General features: G+C 45.1%; 1 protein-coding gene across 1 annotated transcript in view, besides 3 other annotated features; it reads right to left on the minus strand.

Moving 5' to 3' along the window:
* The window catches only part of SIAH3 (siah E3 ubiquitin protein ligase family member 3), a 74,512-nt gene that overhangs the window by 47,906 nt on the left and 3,552 nt on the right, over positions 1-23,054 (minus strand). The gene's annotated exons all lie outside the window — the stretch shown is intronic.
* Positions 12,862-13,378: an enhancer, noted in NCBI's record as "H3K4me1 hESC enhancer chr13:46412144-46412660 (GRCh37/hg19 assembly coordinates)". NCBI's record gives its function as "activates a minimal SCP1, AML or CMV promoter by ChIP-STARR-seq in primed H9 embryonic stem cells {active_cell/tissue: H9 hESC(primed)}" and the evidence as "EXISTENCE:reporter gene assay evidence [ECO:0000049][PMID:30033119]".
* Positions 13,379-13,895: an enhancer, noted in NCBI's record as "H3K4me1 hESC enhancer chr13:46412661-46413177 (GRCh37/hg19 assembly coordinates)". NCBI's record gives its function as "activates a minimal SCP1, AML or CMV promoter by ChIP-STARR-seq in primed H9 embryonic stem cells {active_cell/tissue: H9 hESC(primed)}" and the evidence as "EXISTENCE:reporter gene assay evidence [ECO:0000049][PMID:30033119]".
* Positions 21,862-22,552: an enhancer, noted in NCBI's record as "NANOG-H3K4me1 hESC enhancer chr13:46421144-46421834 (GRCh37/hg19 assembly coordinates)". NCBI's record gives its function as "activates a minimal SCP1, AML or CMV promoter by ChIP-STARR-seq in naive and primed H9 embryonic stem cells {active_cell/tissue: H9 hESC(naive and primed)}" and the evidence as "EXISTENCE:reporter gene assay evidence [ECO:0000049][PMID:30033119]".

Consider the following 23,054-nt stretch of genomic DNA (forward strand, 5'->3'; position numbering starts at 1 on the left):
CACCTCACACTTCAGGACTCCCTAGGCATCTCGCATTAATAGGTCTCTTCAGCTTTCCTCTAAGTGCTAATAATTCCTGGGCGTTTTGATGGGAGCGCTTTCTCCCAAAGATAAATTGACCCCAGCTAAGAGCCAAGCTCCTAGCCAAATCTCATTACAATCAGCCTTGATGGCAGACAGGATTCAGAATGTAACAAAATTAGAGCTTTTAAATCATTATCTCGACTCTGGGAGCACTGCGTTAACAGATGGGAATGTGGATGATGGAGAAAAGACCTCACACCACACTCTTCCCCAGAAAACGGATTTCCCCCAAGCCAGGAGCGCAGCCCCCAGCCCTGCCTGGGGTGTGTGCTTAGTGTCACCTTGGAGGGAGTGACATCTGAACTGACCTTTTCACACCTTCGTGAAGTAGTCTTCCTGAGGATCCACTTTTCCCAGCTCACTTTTCTGCAGAAGGTAACCATAGGGGAAAATGTGAAATGCTGAGTCTCTTAGGAAACAACTTGGTGAGCAAGAAGTTACTTGGGACAGTACTTTCTGTTGCTGCTTTCCTGAGCTCTGAGCAGCTTCCTCATCTGTTCGTTCATTCAACAGCATCAGTGCACACTGGGCCCTCATATCATACCTGTTCTGGCTACATCCTCTGTGCCTGTGACATTTCTCCGTTTTGTAGGACAGCCCTACCCCAGCTCCCTCGCTTCCTAGGCCTTGTTCTCTGAGTTACAGCTTTCCTCCAAAGGCTCCCTCCCCTGACCATGAAGACCAAAACCCAAGTCTCTCAGCATTCAAAGATCTCTGCCTTCCTCCCCCTGGCCCTCAACACCCCAGCCCTGTGTCTTTGTTTCCTGGTTTCTCCTTAGCCTCTGTCTGGAAGGCGTTTTCCCTTGAGCCTTGTATGGCTGGTTCAGTGCATGTTCTTTTCATTCAGATGTGAGCTCTTGTGACACTTTTTTAAAGAAAGCTTTCCTGGATGACTCAGTCCATAGAAGCTTGTTTTAATTCTCTGCAAAGCATTTAACATTACCTGATATATTTATTTACTTATTATCATTTTCTTCTTCTCTGGGCTGGATTGTAAACCCTGTGAGATCAGACCTGTTTATGTCATTCACTAATACATCTTCAAAGCTTAGGATGATGCTTGGCATATAGTAGGTGCTAAATAAACATTTAAATGGATGGATGGATGGATGAGTGGGTGGGTGGATGGATGGATGGATGGATGAATGAATGGATGGATGGATGGATGGATGGATGGATGGATGGATGGATGGATGGATGAATGGATGCATGGATGGATGGATGGATGAATGGATGGATGGATGGATGGATGGATGGATGGGTGGGTGGATAGATGGATGGATGGATCAATCAATAGCGTTCTCTGCAAGTGCTCCTTGACTCTCCGGGCTTTATTATTTATTACACTCTATGCTTTACCTTATCACGTGCCTCCTGTTCATGTTGCAGCCTTCATCACATGTTAATAGCTCAATCCTAGCATAGTGGACATGTTAAACATATTTCTTCAAGTTAAACATGAAAATCTGCTCTCTAGGAGTTTACAGTCCAGGAGGGAAGGTAGAGCAGGTTCAGAAAGACCTAAACTCTACGTGTGAGTTGTGGGTTCCCTAAAATAAAAAGATAATGTGAGGGCTGAGGGCTGTGGGTTGCAGAGGCTGGCACCCCTCCAACATTCTGGGGTGACAAACATTTCCAGATTGACACCCAGACCAACCCTGACCTGGTGATCCCCTAGGACTGTCTCTGGGCGATGTACACATTAACTGTGATGAACTCAGCGGGCTAGATTAGTCTCTCGAGTAAACCACAGTTTTAACGGCCTGCCCACCACCAATTCCTTTTTTCTTCATGGCTAACAGCTCTTTAGTTTCATTCATGTCAGCTAAGTGGCCACTCTTAGCTCTGAGCCAATCACTATTCTTTGTTTCCCTGGCCCTTCTTGACAGTTCTGATGCCTGTGTGACTGACCCAGCTCTGGTCCGTGAAACTTAAGAGCTGTCTTTTGGAGGAGAGGATCCTGACAAAGCTTTTGCTTTCCTAATAAAATGAAACAGTGTCACCCTTTTCCCCTTCCATTTGTCTTGAATACAGTCAAGATGCTGGAGCTGCAGCCAGTGTCTTGCAAACACGAGGCAGCAAATGCAAAGGAAAGGGCAAGAGAAGAGGAGACAGGCCAATCCTGACATTCTGAGCACCTGAACTATGCTAGAAACCATCTACCCCCAGGCTGTGATTTGTAAGAAAAACAAACCTCTACTTATTCAAACCACTGTTATTTGACCATTCTGCTATTTATAACTGATTTTATTTCTAACTAATATGGAACTCTACAGACATGTCCAATCCAGGCCTGGAGCCAGTCCAGGAGGTCACAGAGTTCTCAGAGGGGTTGGGAAAGTTCCAAACAGCAGCAAAGGAACCCTAGAGCTGGATTCCTTTCCTCCCTCAGTATAGGTGGTTTGCTCCCAGGACAGACTAATGAGTCCCATAGGCTTCAGGAGATACTTCATTCAATTCCTGGCTACATCAGGCTCTGATTGATTCAGTAAAAGCAGTCACCAGGGTAGCCTTGTGTTCAGACTACATGATACCAAAGCAACATTTCCCTTCCAGGCCCCTGCCACCTCTACCAATAAAGTTTTTAATTTTATCTTTCCAGCCAACCTCTGTCTTTCCTTCTCTCTGCTTCCATAATTGTTTGTAGCATCTCCACTCAAGGCTGGCTTCATGGACATCCAATCTGTGCAGTTCCAACAGTGCCCCAATTTAATGCACTACTGTCACTGCTGTGAAATTCTTAAATTTTAACAACGAGGCCCACATTTTCATTTTCACTGGGCCCCACAAATTAGGTAGCCAGTCCCACCTCTGCTAATGGACTTTGCAACTTTCAGCCATGTCTTAGCTCCTCTGAACCTCAGTTTTCTCACCTGTAAAATGAGAATAATAATAACTGCTTTACTGGGTTGTTGGGAGGACTAAATGAGATATCATAAGCAAAGCATCCCCCTTTGTCTGACCTATGGGAGTGCTCTGTGAAGGTTTCTTCTCCTGCCCTTCTCCTCTTGAGTATTTGACCCTGACTGGTTCATAACCTTCCGTGGCTGAAGTTCATGGTCCTGATGCCTCATTTAGAGATGAACTAGCTAAACTCTTTGAGGGGCATGGTGATCTTTATTCTGATGATCTTCACCCCAACGGTGCCTGTCCTTAGCAGGCACCAAGTAAAGGTTTGACAAGTGAACAAATGCTACTCTGAAAGCTGCTAGGATTCTGTGTCGTAGCCCACTTCTCCTTTTGAAGTTGCATTTTGGGAACAGCAAAATTTAACCACAGTATAATAAGGAAGGCATAATTCACTATTTTGCGAGACTCAAAAACTGCTATCCCAGCTTATCTAATGAAAGATAGTCCAAATTTCCTCTCAATCCAGGCTGAGCTTCCATGTGGAATTAGATTAGAGCCAGGACATTTCCATAAGGAATCAAATGCACCCAGGACCAAGCCTCTTTCAGGGGGCCCGAGGTGAAGTCCATGACAATAAAGGTCTCTTTCAATAAGTCATTTTCAACAGTGTGCTCTGGTTTCCTCTAGGATTGAATTCCGGTCTCATTGTCATGCCTGATGGTGAAGGGGAAACCTGCTTACCATGCAGAAAAGCCAGCATCTAGACCCATGTGTGGTTTAAAAGGAATCAGTCAGTGAAAACAAGTGGTATTGACAGAATAGTTAGAAGGGAGGAGAGTTTTGAACAGAATTAACTCTATTTTTTTTTTTGCAGAAAAACTGCATTTAAAAAAATCCACCCTTTTCAAAGTTTCAAAGCATTTTAATAAGCAATAGCTTACATAACTAAGTTAATAATAGTTAATCTAGAATTACCGCTGATTAAGCACCAAGACCTTTCATCAACACCACAGCACTGTGAGGTAGATGTGTTGATTTTACTCACTTTGCAATGGAGTAAATTGAGGTTTCAAAGGATCAGTAACTTGGCTCAAGGGCATAGAGCTAGCAAAAGTCAGCAAGCTGACTGACTCCAAAAACTGCTTGTGTGTAAAATGCATTAATCTCAACTGTGCAGCTTGGTGAATTTTAACCTACGCATGACCCAGTAACCACCACCCAGATCAAGATATAGAACATGGCTGGGTGCAGTGGCTCACACCTATAATCCCAGCACTTTGGGAGGCCGAGGTGGGAGGATTGCTTGAGCCCAGAAGTTCAAGACCAGCCTGGGCAACATAGCAAGACCTTGTCTCTGCAAAAAATAATAAAAAAAATATTATCCGGGCATGGTGGTGTCAACCTTTAGTCCCAGCTACTTGGGAGGCTAAAGTTGGAGGATTGCTTGAGCCCAAAAGGTCAAGGCTGCAGTGAGCCATGATCACGCCCCTGCACTCCAGCCCTGGCGACAGACCAAGACCCTGACTCAAAAGATATAGAACACTTGCTACATCATGGAAGGTTGTCTCATGCCACTTCCTAGGCAGACCTGCGCTCCCGCCCCCAGAGATAACCCCTGTTCTGACATCTATCTCCATCAATTAGTTTGAGGCAAAACTGTCTTGCTTGTTTCCCTTTCTGTATTTTTTTTCCCTCTGAGAAGACCAAACATTGCTTCTAATTTCTAATAAATCTCACTCCTATTTAGGGCAGCAATTATCTTGTTTTTAGAGGCGCTTGGGTTCGAGGCCATGATGAACCACACCCCAGGAGCCTTCTGTCCCGGGGTGCAGCTTTCCTGTCTGGCTGCGGTACAGGCCTGCCTCTAACATTTGCGAGACCCTGGGCAAGGGTCACAGAAAGAAGCATGAACCATTTGTCTAAATGTTTCAGAGGTACACACTAAGCCAATAGGCTGTTAAATGCAGTCCATTTTTCTTCCTATCTTGATAAATGAACATCTTCATAACACATGAGAAAGCCAGGTTTGAATTAGAGGGCTCGGACTCCTTGGAGTTCTAGAATACGTCCCTTGGAAACAGTCAGCTGTAGCCCCAGGGGCAGCCACCTTCTTCTCTTCTCATCCCTAGTTCCATCCCATACCTGATGTATGTGGCCACCTGAGCCTGTACATCCAAGTTCTGTCTAAAGTCTCCATAAAGAGTGAGCCTGGATACCTGTCAGGGGCATGCATGCTGGTGGCACTGTGCACTCTTGGGAGAAGGACAGACCTGCAGAAGACAAGCAAGCCCCAGGCACCCAGAGAGAGACCTAGAAAGGGAAGTGTGAGCTCCAAGTGGGGACAGTCAGGTGGGGATGCACATTCCTCAAGGCGTGGGGTAGGGGCACAGCCCGAGGCAGGCCAGGTGGGTCCTGCAGAGCTTAGCGTACACACCTGCCTGGCCTAAGGGTGGTTTTACAACACTGAGGTCATTCATCTCAATCAAGAGGCAACTTGCTTCATTCCCAAATTCACTCTGAAGAGTTGGGTTTGGTTAAAGCCCTCTTCACTGGTGCTTACCTTCTGCTGGGCATTGAGGCATGAAGATGAACTAAACTTGCTCCCAGCTCTTCAGGGCCTCAAGTCTAGTGGGAGAACCCAGCTGGGTAGCAGTTTTATACCATGTCAGAGACAGACATAGGAGGTTTGAGGAAGGGCTCTGAGCAGGAGAGGACCTCTGAGTGGTCCTAGAAGGTGAGAAAGTACTAACCAAAAAAAGGCAGAGGAAGGTATTTTGGGGAGAGAGCACAGAATAAGTTAAGAATGGTCTATGTTGGCAGGGCCTGGTAGCTCACACCTGTAATCCCAGCACTTTGGGAGGCTGAGGCAGGCGGATCACCTGAGGTTAGGAGCTCCAGACCAGCCTGGCCAACATGGCGAAACCCCGTCTTTACTAAAAATACAAAAATTGGCCAGGCATGGTGGTGCATGTCTGTAGTCCCAGCTACTTGAGAGACTGAGGCAAGAGAATAGCTTGAACCCGGGAGGTGGGGGTTGCAGTGAGCCGAGATCGGGCCACTGCACTCCAGCCTGGGTGACAGAGTGAGACTGTGCCTCAAAATAAATAAATAAATAAATAAATAAATAAATAAATAAATAAATAAAATAAAAAAATGAATCGTCTATGTAATAATGACTTTGAGCCTTCCAGCAGTGAGAAGGTATGATCAGTGACAAGGGGTTGCCAGGAGAGGCCAGTGTATGCACCAAAAGGAGCACAGATTTTATTACTTCCAGGAATTGAGGGAGGCACTAAGGCTTTCAGCAGAAGGGGGTCATGCGCAAATTGATATTTGTAGACATACAACTCTGGCACTGATATGGAGTAGAAGATAATCCAGTAAGGAGTTAATGAAGGTCTGTTATGCATTCACTCAGTAGATATTTATTGAGCCTCCAATATGCCAGGCGCTGTTCTAGACTGGGGAAGCTATGGTGGGCAAGGCAGAAATAGTCCCTCCTCTCAAGCAGTTTATACTCTAATGAGAAGGCAGGGACACCATAGAAACACAAAGCAATAAAGACATCACACTGTTTCAGACAGCGGTGAGTGCTGTGGGTAATGGATAATGGGGTAAAGAGGAGGGAGGGGACATGAGAAAGAAGATGGAACAGCTCATTTCTTCATGTGTCTCTTCACCCAACATGTTTGTATTTATTGAGGGCCTACTATGGGCAGTGTCTCTGTAGTGGAGAGATGAAACCAAAACCCTGTTTTCACAGCATTCATGTCTCATGGAGGAGTCAGACACCATTCAGATATCCCACTGCTAAGCTGCGTATTCTGGAGAAAAGGAACATAGGTCCTTGAGAGCATACAGCCAGGGAATCCCACCTTGGTTGGTTGGCCTGAGAAGATGGACTTTGGGAGGGCGGGAGAGCATTTCCAGCCCAGGGGTGGGAAGGCAAGATGAGTGCTAGGGAGAGCCAGCCGGAAGTGCCTAGGGAGGAGGGAAGAGAGGTGTGGGGTGCAGCCACCCAGGTGGGCAAGGGCCCTGCCATGTCCAACCCTGCCTGGGGACTTGGCCTTTTTTGATTTGAGCAAAGTAAATATATTCTGTATTGTGGTAAAACATATCTAAAATAAAATCTTCCATTTTAGCCATGTGTAAGCGTACAATTCAGTGGCATTAATTATATTCACAATTTGTGTGACCATCGCCACTATCTATTTTCAGAACCTTTCCTCGCTCCAAAGAGACACTGTGGCCGTGAAGCAGGAACTCCTTGTTTCCAATTCCCTCATCCCTGGTAACCTGTAATCTACTTTCTGTCTCTATGGACTTGCCTATTTGAGAAATTTCATGTAAATGGAAACATCTAATATTTATCCTTTTGGGTCTGGCTTATTTCATTGAACATAATGTTTTCAGGGTTTACTCATGTAGGATGTCAGAATTTCATTCCTTTTTATGGTTGAATATCCCATTGTATGTATCTGCCACATTTGTTTATTGATTCCTCTGTTGATGGACACTCGGTTGTTTCCACCTCTTGGCTAGTGTGAATAATGCTGCAATAAACATCCGTTTGACTTTTTATTTTCAGTTCTTTTGGGTATATGCCCTGAAGTATGATTCTAGGTCATATGGTAATTCTATGTTAAATTTTTTTGAGGGAGCTTCATACTATTTTTTATAGCAGCTGCTCCATTTTACATTCTTACCAGCAATGCACAAGTGTTCCAATTCCTCCACACCCTCAGAAACACTTGTTATTTTTCTGTTGACTTTGATTTATCCTAAAAGTATCAGGTCTAAATCCTCTCTCAGAACATGCTCTGATCATCCAAGTCCTGTTGGCAATCTGAAGAGTCTTTATTTTGTGGTGGGACTTTGATGCATGTGCCTTCTGGGTAGTTGAAAGAATTCGGGAAATTCTGTTCAGCATCCCTATTGCCAATGACAGCCAGAAAACAGAGACAGAGGTGGGGGGAAACTGCATAGGAACTGGGAAAGAGGTGACAAATTTGGGACCTCTCCCATGAGGTACCCATTATAGTGGGCATCTTCTAAGGATTCTTTTCTTCTCCCCATTATAGCACCACTTTCCATAGCAGGTGTCAATAAATATATGCTCATAGAAGGTGCTCAATAAATAAACACTTGAATGAAGGAGCTACTCCCACTTCTTTTCCTCATTTCTCTTCCATCATCCATGATCCAGGTCTGACAAGGGCATCGCTGAAGGTCAGACATCCTAGACTCCCTTAGAGCTATCCCTCCCAGGGCCCTCAGGCTATTGTGTAGCTGGACCCAGTCAACCACCCTGGGTCTTTTTTGGTACTGACCAGCTGCTTGCCATGACAGTTATTCTACATGGCGCTCATAGCTTTGCAAGAAATTACACACACACATGCACACACACACACGCACACACACACACACGGCAGTCCTTTTTAGAACAAGGCAGGGCTAAGCACACAAATAAAAGGAAGAGAAAGAGGGTGGTTCATCCAAATGATACTCTCTATCCACATTGTGATTTAAAGATTGCAGAGCACCTTGTCAGATATTTTCTCATTCGATCCTCACGATAAACCATTGTGGTTGGCAGGGTAAGTGCTGCTATCCATTCTGGTTTTGCAACAGGGGGACAGACTCAGAAAGGGGACATGACCTGCTGAAGGTCAGAGCTGGTAAGTGGCAGGGACAGGTCTGATTCCATGCCCAGAGCTGGCTCCCTCTCCCAAGCATGGCGATGACTCACCCTGGCCTTCTTGCCCACAACCTGCTGAGGGCCTCCAGGAAGAGCTCAGCCAGGCTTTTAACAATCAATCAGGAGTTTTCCTGAGGCGTCTGCACAGACTTTTGGCTGGTCTTCTCAGAAGCTGTTCTTGCAAAATGCTTTCTTATTTTTCGCCCAACCAATACTGAGGTCAAAAAGAAAAAAAAAAAAAGAAGGGGAAAAAAAAGCCCTTCCATTCTGTACCATTCAGCCTGGCAAAGCCTATCTCATTCCCGGAATTCTAATTGGAAACTGCCTTCTGTTCTCATTAGTTTGGGTTGTAGCAGTCATTACATTCCAAACAATTAATCCCTGAATGCCAATTTCTTACTAGAATTATCCTGGACTCAACAACTGGTTTTCTTAGCAGCAAAGCTGAAGCAATTATTCCCAGCTTTTGTAACTAAACATGCTGTGCTTGACACTTTACAATGTTTTCATCATCATTGAGTTATCAGCATTTATCTCTACCAGGGGAAAGAAAAGGCTGTCCGATTGTGAAGGCCCAGCAATCACACAGACCTGCTTACTGACATCGATGGGCTCCCTGGGACTTTCTCTTCTTGCTTGGAAAAGAAGGGAGAATATCCCCTGGGCCTCAAATTTCACTGAAATTCAGAAGTTAGCACCTTCTGAGACTGAGGAATAGGAAACCAATAGGAAGATGCAGCAGAGAGGCCTCGGGTTCCAGGGCAGTTCTCCCTGGGAGCTCAGGGCCTATGGCTGGTGGGCAGCATCCCGGTCCTCTTGGAGGCTGTCCCGTTGGGCTTCCAGCTCAGTGTCTGTGGGGCATGACACCTCCCTTCCAAAGCTGGGCCACCTAGAGTCAAGCCCGCAAACCGACCTACTGTGGGCCAGAAGAGGGGTGCTGACCGTCTTGTGCAGGTACCTAAACTTAGGCCTTCTGGAGGTGATGCAGGAGGAACTCCTGAGTTCACAATCCTGACTCTACCACTTGCTGCTGTGTGGCTTTGGACTCACTGCTAAACCTCTCTGGGCCTCAGATCCCTCATCTATATAATCATAGCTCTATCTCACAGGGTTATTTAAGGATCAAATAAATTAATATTGGTAATTAGAACAGGGCGTGCCTAACACATAGTAAGTGCTTTATAAGTGTGTATTTAAAGACAAGTAAATATAAACTGTCCTTTAATTATTAAAGGGCCCTTTTCATGTTCTTTTGTTCCCTTCAGCAGGTGTGAGAGCCCACAAGATAGACTAGAAAGGCAGAAAGAGGAAGACTGATTCTCTCCCACCACCTCCCAAACCACAAAGCTCCCTGATTTATTTGAATATACTCACAAACAAATCTCAAACCCATTTTTCAAAAAAGCCAAACTTTGGTATTATTGTGATAGTGACTATTTCCCAGCCTCTCCAAAAATGAAACTTGAAGTATTTCTCAATAGCATGTAGAGAACTAGTCTTCAGATTATCAACTACTAATCAGTCAAGGTTAGAGCAGCTGTAATCCAGTCAATGGAAGCCGGACACAGTAGATTCTTTTCTCTCCTTTCACTACACTAGCATCAGGACCTATGAACTAAGTGTTCCCTCCTCACATCTAGTAATGATAATAATAACAACAACAATAGCAATAATAGCAGCTAACATCTGTATAGCATTTATTCTGTGCCAAGCACTTTATTATATTAACTCATTTAGTCCTCAGAACAACTGGAGGAGGCAGGCGGTTATTATTACCCCATTTTACAGATGAGGAAACTGAGGTCCCCAAAAAGCTAAACCTCAAGTCCAAAGTCACATGGCTGGCAGCTGTAGAGGCAGTAGCTGAACCCAGGTAGTGTGACTCCAGAGACCAGCACTTAGCATTACGCTAAACCTTATATATCATCTACCCCATCTGTGAGCTCGGACCCAGTCTGGCTCAGAAACTTAACACTCTCCATAGGCTGGAGGGATCTGCGGGGCTTGGGACCAAGTCTCACTGCTCCTCAGGCTCTGGACTTGTATATGACAGCTCTCTGAATATCACGTTTCTGCCTTAGAGCACGCTTTGGGAGACGCCTGATTCTTTCCCTGTTCTTCAGCCTCTGTATTGATAACACGCTTAGTTTTCCCACTTTCTTGCCTTGTTCTTGCAGTTCTTAGCCTTTTATTTATTAATTAGACCTACATCTACTATGCACCCACTATACCAGCCAGTCATTTATACCAGGCCTGGGGATACAGAGCCCTTGGGGTACTCACCATCTGATAGGGACACGGATATGCAAGTGAATGCGTAGAGTGGAGAGTCTGAGCTTTGTGCTTAAAATCAGTGAGAACGAGTGAGGCAGATAGAGGGGGTCAAGGATTAGCAGGAAAGGCTTCACAGAGGAGAAGGCAGGGACTAGGACTTGAAAAGTCCTGCCAGGTTATTTTATTGTAAAGACACATGCATGCATATGTTCATTGCATCACTGTTTACAATAGCAAAGACATGGAATCAATCTAAATGCCCATCAGTGATAGACTGGGTAAAGAAACTGTAGTGCATATACGCCATGGAATACTATGCAGCTGTAAAAAGGAACAAGATCATGTCCTTTGCAGGGACACAGATGGAGTTGGAAGCCACTATATTATCAAGGAACAAGATCGTGTCCTTTGCAGGGACATAGATGGAGTTGGAAGCCCTTATTCTCAGCAAACTAACGCATGAACAGAAAACCAAATACAGCATGTTTTCACTTATAAGTGGGAGCTGATTATTGAGGAGAACACATGGACACATGGCAGGGGAGAACAACAACACTGGGCACCTGTGAGGGGATGGGGAGAGGGAGAGCATCAGGAAGAACAGCTAATGGATGCTGAGTTTACTACCTGGGTGATGGGATGATCTGTGCAGTAAACCAACATGGGACACGTTTACCTATGAAACAAACCTTCACATCCTGCACGTGTACCCCAAACTTAAAAGTTGAAATAAAGAAATCCTGCCTCAGTCAGTAACCTTGTGGGCCATGACCCTGCTTCCTGTTGCTGGACGTTCCTGGATGTCCCCAGTTGCCTGTAATATTTGCCAGTGGTCACTTTGCAGACATCACATCTTGCCTGCTTGGACATACCCAGGTGACCTCAGAGAGTAAAAGAGAATTGCATTTGTCATCTTTATTTTATAATTGGTTAGTGGTAAATGTGTAGACATCTGCCGCCCTAGTGCCAGCCCCATGCCTCCCAGTGAAGCTTCACATCTGTCTGGATTTGTGTCCCCTAGGGACACCATAACAGTGGCCTTCGTCTTCTCAGCTTCACATGGAGAAAACATCTTCCCAGCTCTCCCTTTTCTACTCCCAAATCTTTTGGGGAGATCTAGGGGGCAAAGGAGGAAACCAATCTTATTAATTCTACACTCCAGTAACAAAATAAGACTCAGAGGATTTAAGAGACTCATCTGGTGACTTTGGATTTGTTCATAGAGTCATTACTCATTTTGAAGATTTGTCCCTTCTCTACACGTCAAGGCTCACTTCCTTTCCTAATTTCAAACTCTTTCTCATTCCCAGAGGTTCTTTTCTAACTTACTCATCAAATAATATGAGGAGCTTTTTGGGGACTTCCTTATTTAAATTTGAAAAAGAATGAAAAAAAGGAAGGAAGGGAGGAAGGAAGGAGAGAGAAAGAGAGGGAAAGAAAAAGAAAGAAAGAAAAATACAGAGAGAAAGGAAGAAAGAGACAAGAAGGAAGGAAGGAAAGAAGGAGGGAAGGAAGGAATGAAGGAAGGAAGGAAGGAAGGAGGGAGGGACAGAGGGAGGGAGGGAGGAAGGGAAGAAGGAATGCATGCAGGCCAAAAGAAATCAATGTTTATGAAAGAACTACCGTGTGCCAGGATCTGGTCTAGGTGCTTTTGCTTATATTTACCATATTAATTCTTCTTTAGTCTCACATTGTATGTATTATTACAGGCAAGGTAAACGAAGCTCAAGGTGATTAAGTAACTTGCCAAGCATCTCATAGATATGAATATTAGAACTAAATTTGAAGCCACATCCTAGTCCAAAGTCCGTGATGTTTCCAACATGTTGAGAAGTGTTTAAAATACCTCTGTGGACTTTTCTTTTCTACTAAATTTCTGTCACCCATGATAAATGGGTTAAGCTCATAAAATTAACCTCGTTTCATTCTCTATTTTATGTCTATTGTATTCACCACATCACCCCCCATTTGGTGTAAATTGCCTCAAACTTTTTTGAAAAGAGGCAGCCTGTAAATCAGTTCAATTGTAAAGACTCATCTCTGCACACCAAGGTCACCTTGGAGGGAGGTAAAGGGCAAGTGTCATCTTCTCATCTGACAGATGAAGTAGCCAAGGTTAAGTGACTTGCTCAAGACCACACAAGGAAGCAAGCCAGAACTGCAAATGAAAGCTTAGCCTCTTGATTCTGCATAAACCTCCTTGGCCAAGTCTTTTCAAGGAGTGGGTGGTAAGTGCCTGGGAGCTCGCCTTTCTGTTTCTAATTTCTCTCCGATTCTTGGAGAGCAGCGCGTTTCTGGCATTTGCTTCAGTAAGCACGCTGAGAAGGGTCCAACTGGCATTTATTTAATTACCATAAACAGATGTAGCACTTTGGCTTCAATGAGGCAGCTTCTTGATGTGCTCATCAGCCCTCCTGCTTACAGGGAGGCTCGCACAGGGCACGGGGGTGGCAGAGAACAGTCAGGTTCCTGCAGTGCCAGCGCCTGCCCCAAGTGCCCCCAGGCCACCACGCTGGGGGGCACTGTGACAAGCAGACATCATGGAGGACAGGGAATGGTGATGATGGCATATCACTCATGTCTGAGGCCTTTCCTTAGGTTTCCTTTTCATTCCTTCCATTCCAGTCTCTCCGGCGAGGCTTCTGCACCCCTTGGTGACTTTTCCCAGACGTCAGTGCTGTTTAATGAGGTGACTCTGGGGCCTCCTTTGGTGATTTTCCCTCCTTGGCTCCTGCTTGAGTGTTTTTCTCCCGCTTTCTAGGGTCAATGTGGACACAGTCCCTCCTTTCTCTGGCTTTTGACCCGGATACATGGCTTGTAGGCATCATCCCGCTTTCCTTCCAGAAGCCCACCTCTCACCCTGATGCCTCCTTCACTCGGTTCTTCTCACAGCAGTGTTTGAAAAAGAAAATGTTGGAAGGGCATAAGGGGAAGCGTTTACCAGAAACCAAGGTAGAAGCCGAGTTAAATTAGGTAGGAAATGGTCATTAAAATTTCGTTCCTCTTTGATTTTAGGAAAAATAAATAAATTTAGTTATAGAGTATGGCCGCTAATGAGAAAGGAAATTTCAAAGGCCTGTGGATCTCTTAGAGAACAGGTGTTACATGCTAAAAGCCACGTTCTCTTAAAGGCCGTTTTTGCTTTGTATAAAAAGACTTCTTTCTCCTCTTCTTTTTTTTTTTTAACTTTTTTATTTTTTAGAGAAAAAGCAGCCTGTTTCATAGTATCTGGATGCTTAGAGAGCATTTGCATTTCCAATGTGGCCAACCAGCTTCCACTGTTAGATAATGACAAGACAATCATATGGCCCAGATTTGGAGATCAGTCCCAGTTTCAGACATGTTTGTCCACCTGTTAAACCAGGTAACCCATTTCTTAAAAAAACATGGTCATAGAGCACAAACTTCCTTTCCTTCAGGATAATTTTGAATTGAGCATTTACATAAAGTTGTGTCAAAGATTTTCCAGAAATACTGTATACAAACCATAATTTTTAGGCCAGGTGCGGTGGCTCACGCCTGTAATCCCAGCACTTTGGGAGGCCAAGGTGGGTGGATCACAAGGTCAGGAGATCAAGACCATCCTGGCTAACACGGTGAAACCCCATCTCTACTAAAAATACAAAAAATTAGCCGGGCGTGGTGGTACCTGCCTGTAATCCCAGCTACTAGGGAGGCTGAGGCAGGAGAATCGGTTGAACCCGGGAGGCGGAGGTTGCAGTGAGCTGAGATCGCACCACTGCACTCCAGCCTGGGCAACAGAGTGAGACTCTGTCTCAAAAAACAAACAAACAAACAAAAATCATTAATTTTTACCAAGCCTGAATTTGGAGGGCTTAGCTCTTTGTAGAAGCTTCCAGACAACCAATTCTATGATCAGGAAGGAGAGCTAGCTCAACATCAAGGTTAAAAGCAAGAGCTAGACCTGGTGCCATGGCTGACGCCTGAAATCCCAGCACTTCGGGAGGCCGAGGTGGGTGGATCCCCTGAGGTAAGGAGTTCGAGACCAGCCTGGCCAACATGGTGAAACCCCATCTCTGCTAAAAATACAAAAATTAGCTGTGCGTGGTGGTGTGCACCTGTAATTCCAGCTACTTGGGAGGCTGAGGTGTGAGAATCACTTGAACCCAGGAGGCAGAGATTGCAGTGAGTTGAGATCGCACCACTCCCCTCCAGCCTGGGTGACAGAGGGAAACTCTGGCCAAAAAAAAACCCACGAGAAACCACAAGCTAAACTCTGCTGCTCATGGAATGGGTTCTGGACAGGTTACTTCATCTCTCTGTGCCTCAGCTTCCTCATGTGTAAACTGGAAATAGACTAATGAATTATCCTGAGGATTTTTTAAAAGGCAATTCAGGTAAATCACTTAGCACAGTGCTTGGCACTTAGTAAGTGCTCAATAAATGTTAGGTAGTTAAAAAATATACACATAGTCTTAATTTGGGTTCCCCAAAAACAGAGCCTGAGATAATGATTTGGATGCAGTAGTAAATTTGGGAGGCTATTCCAGCAAGCAGGAAGAAGGGAAGAAGTCACTGCTGGAGGCCACAGGAACTCGATCCCACCAGGCAGCATAGAGAAGCACAGAGGATGCTACCAGGATTGCCCACCCCGAGCCGGAGCATCTTTGTGTGCATTTATACACACAGAATGAATAAGACAGGGTCCCAGCTCAGCGTTTTAAAGTGAAATATACTCAATATTAATCCTAAGGCCAAGCATGTCGGCTCAGTTGTTTGTTGTGAAAAGTAACTGAGGGATGACATATCAAGACGCGCTTTAAAGCACAGAAATTTAATTTTTAAAAAAGGTTCTGCCACAAAGAGCTGGGTGACATTGAGTAAGATTTTTGACCTTTTTCTGTTTTGATATTCTGTATAATGGAGAATGATAACAATATACTACTTCCCAGTGATGATTAAATGCATTAGCACTTAACATAGTTCCTGGATGTAGCATTTTGTGGTTGTTACTATCATTATTGTTTTTATTGTGTGTGTAACTAATACGGTAGAAAACTATTATCAGGGTTTCAGGATGTTTAGCTGCCTTGGCCTAGTATAAGTCATTATACATCCCTAAAGTACACAGAGGGAACCCAGGGTTCCAAGTGGCCACCTGCCCTGGACTCCCTGTCACATCTTGGCAGAGTCGTAGCTGTTAGATCCGAGAGGCCATGAAGTCTGGTTATGAAGCTGGCAGGTGGCTAGGCTTGCTGGCCAGTCTCTTGTAAAATCTGTGTTATTGATCTACATTTGGTTTCATCTCTATGGGGCCTTCCTAATGCCAAGCTAACCCTGCCCTCCCTCTCCAAGGGGCTGCAGTGGCCCATCTCTTCTGCAGAGGATCCTGTCCTTTTTGTCCTGGGGAGCCAGGGCCTACCGTTTCCTTTCTCAGGCTACTTGCTCCATGCTGTTTCCAGTGCTGTGCCACAGCTGGAAACAGCCCTGCAATGAGCAGTGCCCTCCTTATCATAGATTCTTGATTAAAAATACATTAAAGGACCAAGAAATGATTACAAGATATAGCAACTTGCAAGTAAAACTGACACTTCCAGTTAGACCACAATTCTAAATAATCCACAAAGAACCTGTTCTTCTGGTAAAAACATTGTGTTTGTTTCTCATCTGTTTTCTGATGGTGCCATAGTCAAGATGAATATGTAGCCTTTGGATCCATCCTGCTGTTTGAAGGTCTGGGATAATGGCTGCAAGGGTTTGGTGACTTCATTTGGAGCCTCATCCCTGTCCCTCACTATATATTTGTGCCAGCGCTAGAGACACAAGGAACATTTGCCTTTTTAATGCCCCGCTGTTGTCCAGCTGGTTTATACCTTGGCAAGGTCCTGAGAACAAGACCCCTCTGGGAAGAGGTCCAACACTGCCATGGGGACATATTAGAGAGGCAATGTCCTTAACCAAAGTACCATCCCCAGCTCTGCTGGAGCCTCATCAGTGGGAACCTTGGGCAAGTCACTTCATCCCCTTGAGCCACATTTGTTAGACCGGCTCCTTAAACTAGGACATTATTCTGGCTCTCAGCTTAAACACTGTGTGCTTCAAAAGCATGGTCCTCAGCAGGTATGTCCTTTTACTGCTCTACCTTCCCCCTTCCCTCCAACATACAGTTGGAGTAAAAGTTTGGTCACCCAAACTTAGGCAAAGGAACTTGGGTCACATTTTGTGCATCAGGTAACATCTCTGCAGGACTCACCTACTAGTAATGATGATAACTACAATTGATGGAGTAATTATAATATGCCAGGTGCTGTGCTGAACACTTTATATAAATCATATGTATATTTTTTGAGACAGGGTCTTGCTCTGCTACCCAGGCTGGAGTGCAGTGGTGCAGTCATGGCTCACCACAGCCTGGACCTCCTGGGCTCAAGCGATCATCCCACCTCAGCCCCTCCACCCTGAATAGCTGACACTACAGGTGTGGGCCACCATGCTTTGCTAATATTTATATTTTTGGAGACACGAGGTCTCACTATGTTGCCCAGGCTGGTCTCGAACCCCTGGGCTCAAGAATCCTTCTGCCTCAGCCTCCCAAACTGCTGGGATTATAGGCGTGAACCACCGTGCCTGGCCTGTACATCGTATTATTTAATCTTTACAACAACCATTTTATAGAGGAGAGCATGCAGACTCTGGGAGGCCAAAGATATTATCCAAGGAATGCAACATTGGATTCAAACCCAGATCTGACTCCAAAACTCATACCTTAAGTCCTCAACTAAAACATTTCTCTTCTTTCCCAACACCACTTTCCCCACTTAACTCTTTCCTGAAGCTGGTTGGTTACAGACTGGGTGGGGAAGAAGGGTCTTGTTTATCTCTATTTGTTCTTCCACTGTGCTGGGGACCAGTATTCCGCACCCACTGGGCTTCGCATCCTGTGATCTTCTATTCAGAGTCCACTCAGGGCCCACACAGGGGAGCATCTCAGAATTGCCATTATTTCTCTCTCTCTCTCTCTGTGTGTGTGTGTGTGTGTGTGTGTGTAGAAACTCAGGTTGGAGTGTAGGCAACTCAGGCCTAGGGCTTAGCTCATTCATGTTTAATTTTCTGATGACAGTGGGATCTAGGAGTTCTGTCTTGCCCTTCCTCGATTCCAGAGGCTGCAGCCTAGACTGAGCATCATCCCCCTTCTCATCCATGCCGGGCTCAGAGGAAAGCTGTGTCCTCAAGGTGCAACGAACTGCAGGGCAGAGAGAAAATGTACAACCTCACAGGGACATGCAGTTTCTGCCTCCATCTCTGTCTCTACCCTGCTGAATCTCAGAGTGGTGTCATCGAGCCTGCAGATATATACTCTTCGAATCAGATACCCCTCACAGAGCCACCTACCCACGTGCTTACTCAAGCCTCTGCTAATGAAAAGAAGTAATGCATAAGTCATGAGGGGCAAGTTTTCAGGATGAGCAGAGAAGGGGATTTATCTGCATGGCTCCTGGCTCTGTGAATGACAGGTCCCAGCTCGTTCAGCTCTTGTCCCACTGCAGGCATGAGTGTCTTCCTGAGACCCAGCCTGTCTTCCAGGCTCAGAGCCCAGTGGGGTTCCGTGCTTTCTTTGAAGCTAAACATTAAGGACAAATCCGACTTTCACATGAGGCAAAAAATTGTTCTATTCACAATTCTCTTCAAGGCCAAAGATAACTCACAAAATACCAAGAAACAGCAAGCACTAAAGCTTGCAGAGAGGAAGGGAAGGCGGAGAAAGACAGCCAGGTGGGGAGTGTGGGGAGTCAAAGCCAGCTTTGAGTAGCTGTTGTCGTCATAATGACCATGCTAACAATTGGTGCCGGTCATAATCCCAAAAGATGCAGTCCCAAACATCATAATCCTGAAAGTTGAATTCCCCAAAGATCAAAATTCCTAAAGTCTAAAACCCTGAAAATCTCATTCCCAAAAGATTAAAATCCCAAATGTTAAAATTCTGAAAGTCAAAATCTGGAGAAAGGATTAGTACATTTAGGTTGTGCGCAGGATATCTGCACCATGTTAGTTGTATCATGTTAGGCAGAACTATTACCTTGTTATTGTCTTATGTGGAAATGAAGTATGATTTAAAGAGATGCGTATGGGTGCTAAGTTGTGGATTGTGAACTAAAATTTAGGTGTCAAGTTGACTGAATTTAAAAATACCTGGAAATCTGGTAAAGCATTATGTCGGATGTTTCTGTGAGGATGTTTCCAGAGGAGGTTAGTGTGTGAGTATGAGTGGGTTAGCTGAGGAAAAGCTGCCCTCAGTGTTGGTGGGCACCATCTCATTGGCCAATGGCTGGGAGAAACAAATACAGAAAGCAAATTGATCTCTCTCTGAGATCCGGGACAGATCTCTTCTGCTGCCTTGGACATCAGAACCCCAAGCTCACCAGCCTTTGGACTCCAGGACTTACACCAGCACCCACATTTAAATGAGAGTTAACCATTGGCTTCCCTGGTTCTAAGGCCTTCGGACTTGGAGCGAGACATGCTACTGGCATCCCAGGGTCTCTAGCTTGCAGATGGGCATGCCATGGGACTACTAAGCCGTCATAATCGTGTGAGCCAATTTTCCTAATAAATCCCCTCTCATATATCCATATACATACATATCTTATTGGTTCTAGCTCTCTGGAGAACCCTGACTAATACATATTTGGTACTGAGGAAGCCGAATATCATTCATTCTTATGCATTCCTTACAACACATTGGAAGAGATCTGTGAAACTGATCCCTCACAAAAATGCTGTGATAAGTTAAGTGTATGAAACTACTTATTGGTGAAAGATAAAAGTTTAAAAGCTAATTATACTGGTGCTGTGTTAGCAGAAAATTACTTAATTGCAATGGCCCAGCAACAACCAAACTTTCAAATGGACAGCATACACTTAGAAAATTTGTAGACCACAACCACTCTCCAAATACAAGTGCAACGACTGTTTCGAAGATTATAGAAGAAGTGAAAATGCAGGTGAAAGATACAAAAAATCTCCCCTGCCAAATTATTTAATCATGTACTACTTCTGCCCTTTCACACATAGTGCCAATATACTATGCTATATATTTAATCTTCGTATTGTCTCCAATAATAGATGTATACATTGTGTAGAGACTTTCAGAGAGTTCTCATTTGTTTTATGCATTTTTTTTTTTTTTTGCAAATTTGACTCCAGGAAGGTGCATTATCACAATGTTGACTTTGTGTGTATGCATTGTGCGTGTGTTAAAAACGCTGAAACTTCCTCAGTAAATAAAGAGATGTCCTTTCTGTACATCTGCATTTGTGAAAGGTACAATTTCTTGAGATCTCGGCGGTTTGGGTGACTGCATATGCAATGGTGACTCGCTGGTTTTTGAGCTGTCCATCAAAAGATTTAAGTTGTCCATCACGGTGTTTCAGATGGCCACAGTTATAAAGCTGGGTGCACACAATTAGTAATCATAGTAATACGCGTTTATACATTTCCCTTTTGATCTATTTCTTTGTGAATATAGTTTGTCTGCTTATAACTTATCCCCATGCTACAGTTGTTAGTATATCTGAGTGTTTATGCTTGCAAAAATATGTATGTTACTATTGCCTCTTTTATTGTGTTAAGTGGCCTGTAAAACACTCTGTTGTGTTTTGTATGTTTCTCTTAAAAATGTAAATAAAGGTCTTAAAATTTTTAAATTTTTTTTCCATAATTATATTTTTGGGACTTTCATCTTTCCCAATTTCAACATTCAGGATTGTGCCTTTCAAAATTATGGCCCAAACTCATAGAAGGGGTGAGGGAGTGAGGAAGGATGATGACTTAGAAGCTCTAATTTGTGAAGAAAATGTGGCTGTGGTAAAGGGGAGATGGTAGAGTGTGTGGTACAGCCCAGGGTGTCATGCTGCTGGCCCCAGGAGGAGAGATAGGGTACAGGAAGGGGACCCTTGCAAGTTTTCGCTCCCACACCATGTATCTGGAGGAAGGGACATTAACTTAGCATAATTTGAAGGCAACCTGGGGCAGTGTAGGAATATAGATCTGATGTTAGAAGACCTAACTTCTTTTTTTTTTTTTTTTTTTTTTGAGACGGAGTTTCGCTCTTGTTGCCCAGGCTGGAGTACAGTGGTGTGATCTCAGCTCACTGCAACGTCTGCCTCCCGGGTTCAAGCGATTCTTCTGCCTCAGCCTCCTGAGTAGCTGGGACTACAGGTGCCCGCCACCATGCCCAGCTAATTTTCGTAGTTTTAGTAGAGTGTGGGTTTTACCATGTTGGCCAGGCTGGTCTCAAACTCCTGACCTAAGGTGATCCACCTGCCTCGGCCTCACAAAGTGCTGGGATTACAGGCGTGAGCCACCGCACCTGACCTAGAAGACCTAACTTCTAGTCTCAATTTTGTCAGTAAGGTCTCCATTCTTTGGGTTGATTCCTTCCACAGGACATTTCTTGTCTAACCAGGTCACTGTTTCCCTTTGGAGGAAACAGAGCTAGTTGGGTGAAGATGACTTTGCTAAGGGTAAAATACCCCCACAGACAGTTAATTTTTTTTCTTGTTGTTAATTGCTAGGAAAATAATCCATCTTACCCAGGGAAGCCATCCAAGTAATTCAGACCTCTCTGCGGATTTCAAAGAAAGCTTTCCGTATCTATTTTCTAATTTTCCCAAATAGTCCCTGCAGGTTGAGGGATCACAGTGAAGAGAATTCCACCAAATTTGCTTCGGGGCTGCTGGATAAATGCAGTACAGAGGTAATCGGCTCACCTCATCATAGCCGCCAGCTTCAGCCTCCCCTACAACTCAATCACCGGCACAGGGCTAACCAAATTACTGCTCCAGGCTCTGGGCCTCCCCGTTATGTGACTCAGGAGCCTCATTTGCAATCACCATTAACCAGAAAAGCCGCACGAATGCTCTGAGCCCACAGAGTGGAGTGTCATACAATATTCACAGAACCCATGGGCTGGAAGAGGCTGCAAAGCCTTTAGAATAATGCTCGCACAGTGACCACCACCAGCTTGGGGTCCCCTTCCTTACCCTTTATCCAGCCCCTCTGGCAAAGTGGCTCCAGACTGGACAGAGAAACAAGACAGTGAAATGCCCAGAGGACTGGGAATGGGACTGTCAGAGGTGACTGTGTGGAGAGGAACTGAGTAACCCACATACCAGCTATTAAACAGTCTTGTTGGAAGCCTTTAACTGCTGTAAAGTAGGTATTCACGCAGAACACTCCAAAGGCCACCTCTAAATCTCTAGACAATGCTCAGGTCTTTACCTCTCATTGAGCCACCTGCTGTGCTGTATGAAACAGAGTTAGCAAACCCCGGGGCAGCACGGGATTTCCAAAGATTATCCCATAAATGGCAAAGGTGGGCACACATCTCACATCTCTCCTTTCCTGGTCTCTGCCTCCTCCTCTTCCTTACAGCTCCCACCCTCCCCACTGCCACTCAATACACATTTATCCACACAAGTTGGTCTTAGAATGGAAGGCACGTGGATGCATCAACAAATGGTACTGAAGTGCCCCAGCTTTAGATTTCATATCTGTCGGGCACTTAAAGCCACGATTGTCCCATATGCCCCTCCCACTCCATGTGTTCGTGTGTGTGTGTGTGTGTGTGTGTGTGCACGTGTGTGTTTCTGTTGCACCTCAAGGTTAATGGGGTTGTCTGGGGTGGTGCAGGCACAGGTTGGAGGTATCAGAGAGGGCCTCATGGAAGTTTGCCAGAAAGCATTTTACTATTCTTCTTTCAGAAACTTGTTTATCAAACGCTGTGGTTAAGAGGAGGAAGTCACTCAGCCAGCCTCAGCCTAGCTACTGCCTGCTTGGGAAGTGCTGATGACTGACCCCAGACCGACCCCTAGCACTACAGAGCCTTCTCTGGAAAAACCTGGGCACAGGGACTGACCGCTCCTCCCCTCAAAGGGCACCTCTGCAGATGGGGCAAAAGAAGGCAGGGCTGCCCAGGGCAGGGCGCTGTAGAAGCAGCTGGCGCCAATGGGAGTGGAGCCAGGAGAGAAAGGCTTTCTTGGTTTAGAAACAAGCAAAGGACAGGAGGGAGAGAGGAGTGCTGAATCAGGACCAGGAGCAGGCGCCCTCATGAGCGCCAGCCTGAAGTCTGCTCGTCACATTTCAATAACCTCTGTGAATGAGGAAGCAGAGGGCAGCTGGCCAAGAG

The sequence above is a fragment of the Homo sapiens genome, chromosome 13 (genome assembly GCF_000001405.40).
Source record: "Homo sapiens chromosome 13, GRCh38.p14 Primary Assembly".
Taxonomy (NCBI): domain Eukaryota; kingdom Metazoa; phylum Chordata; class Mammalia; order Primates; family Hominidae; genus Homo; species Homo sapiens.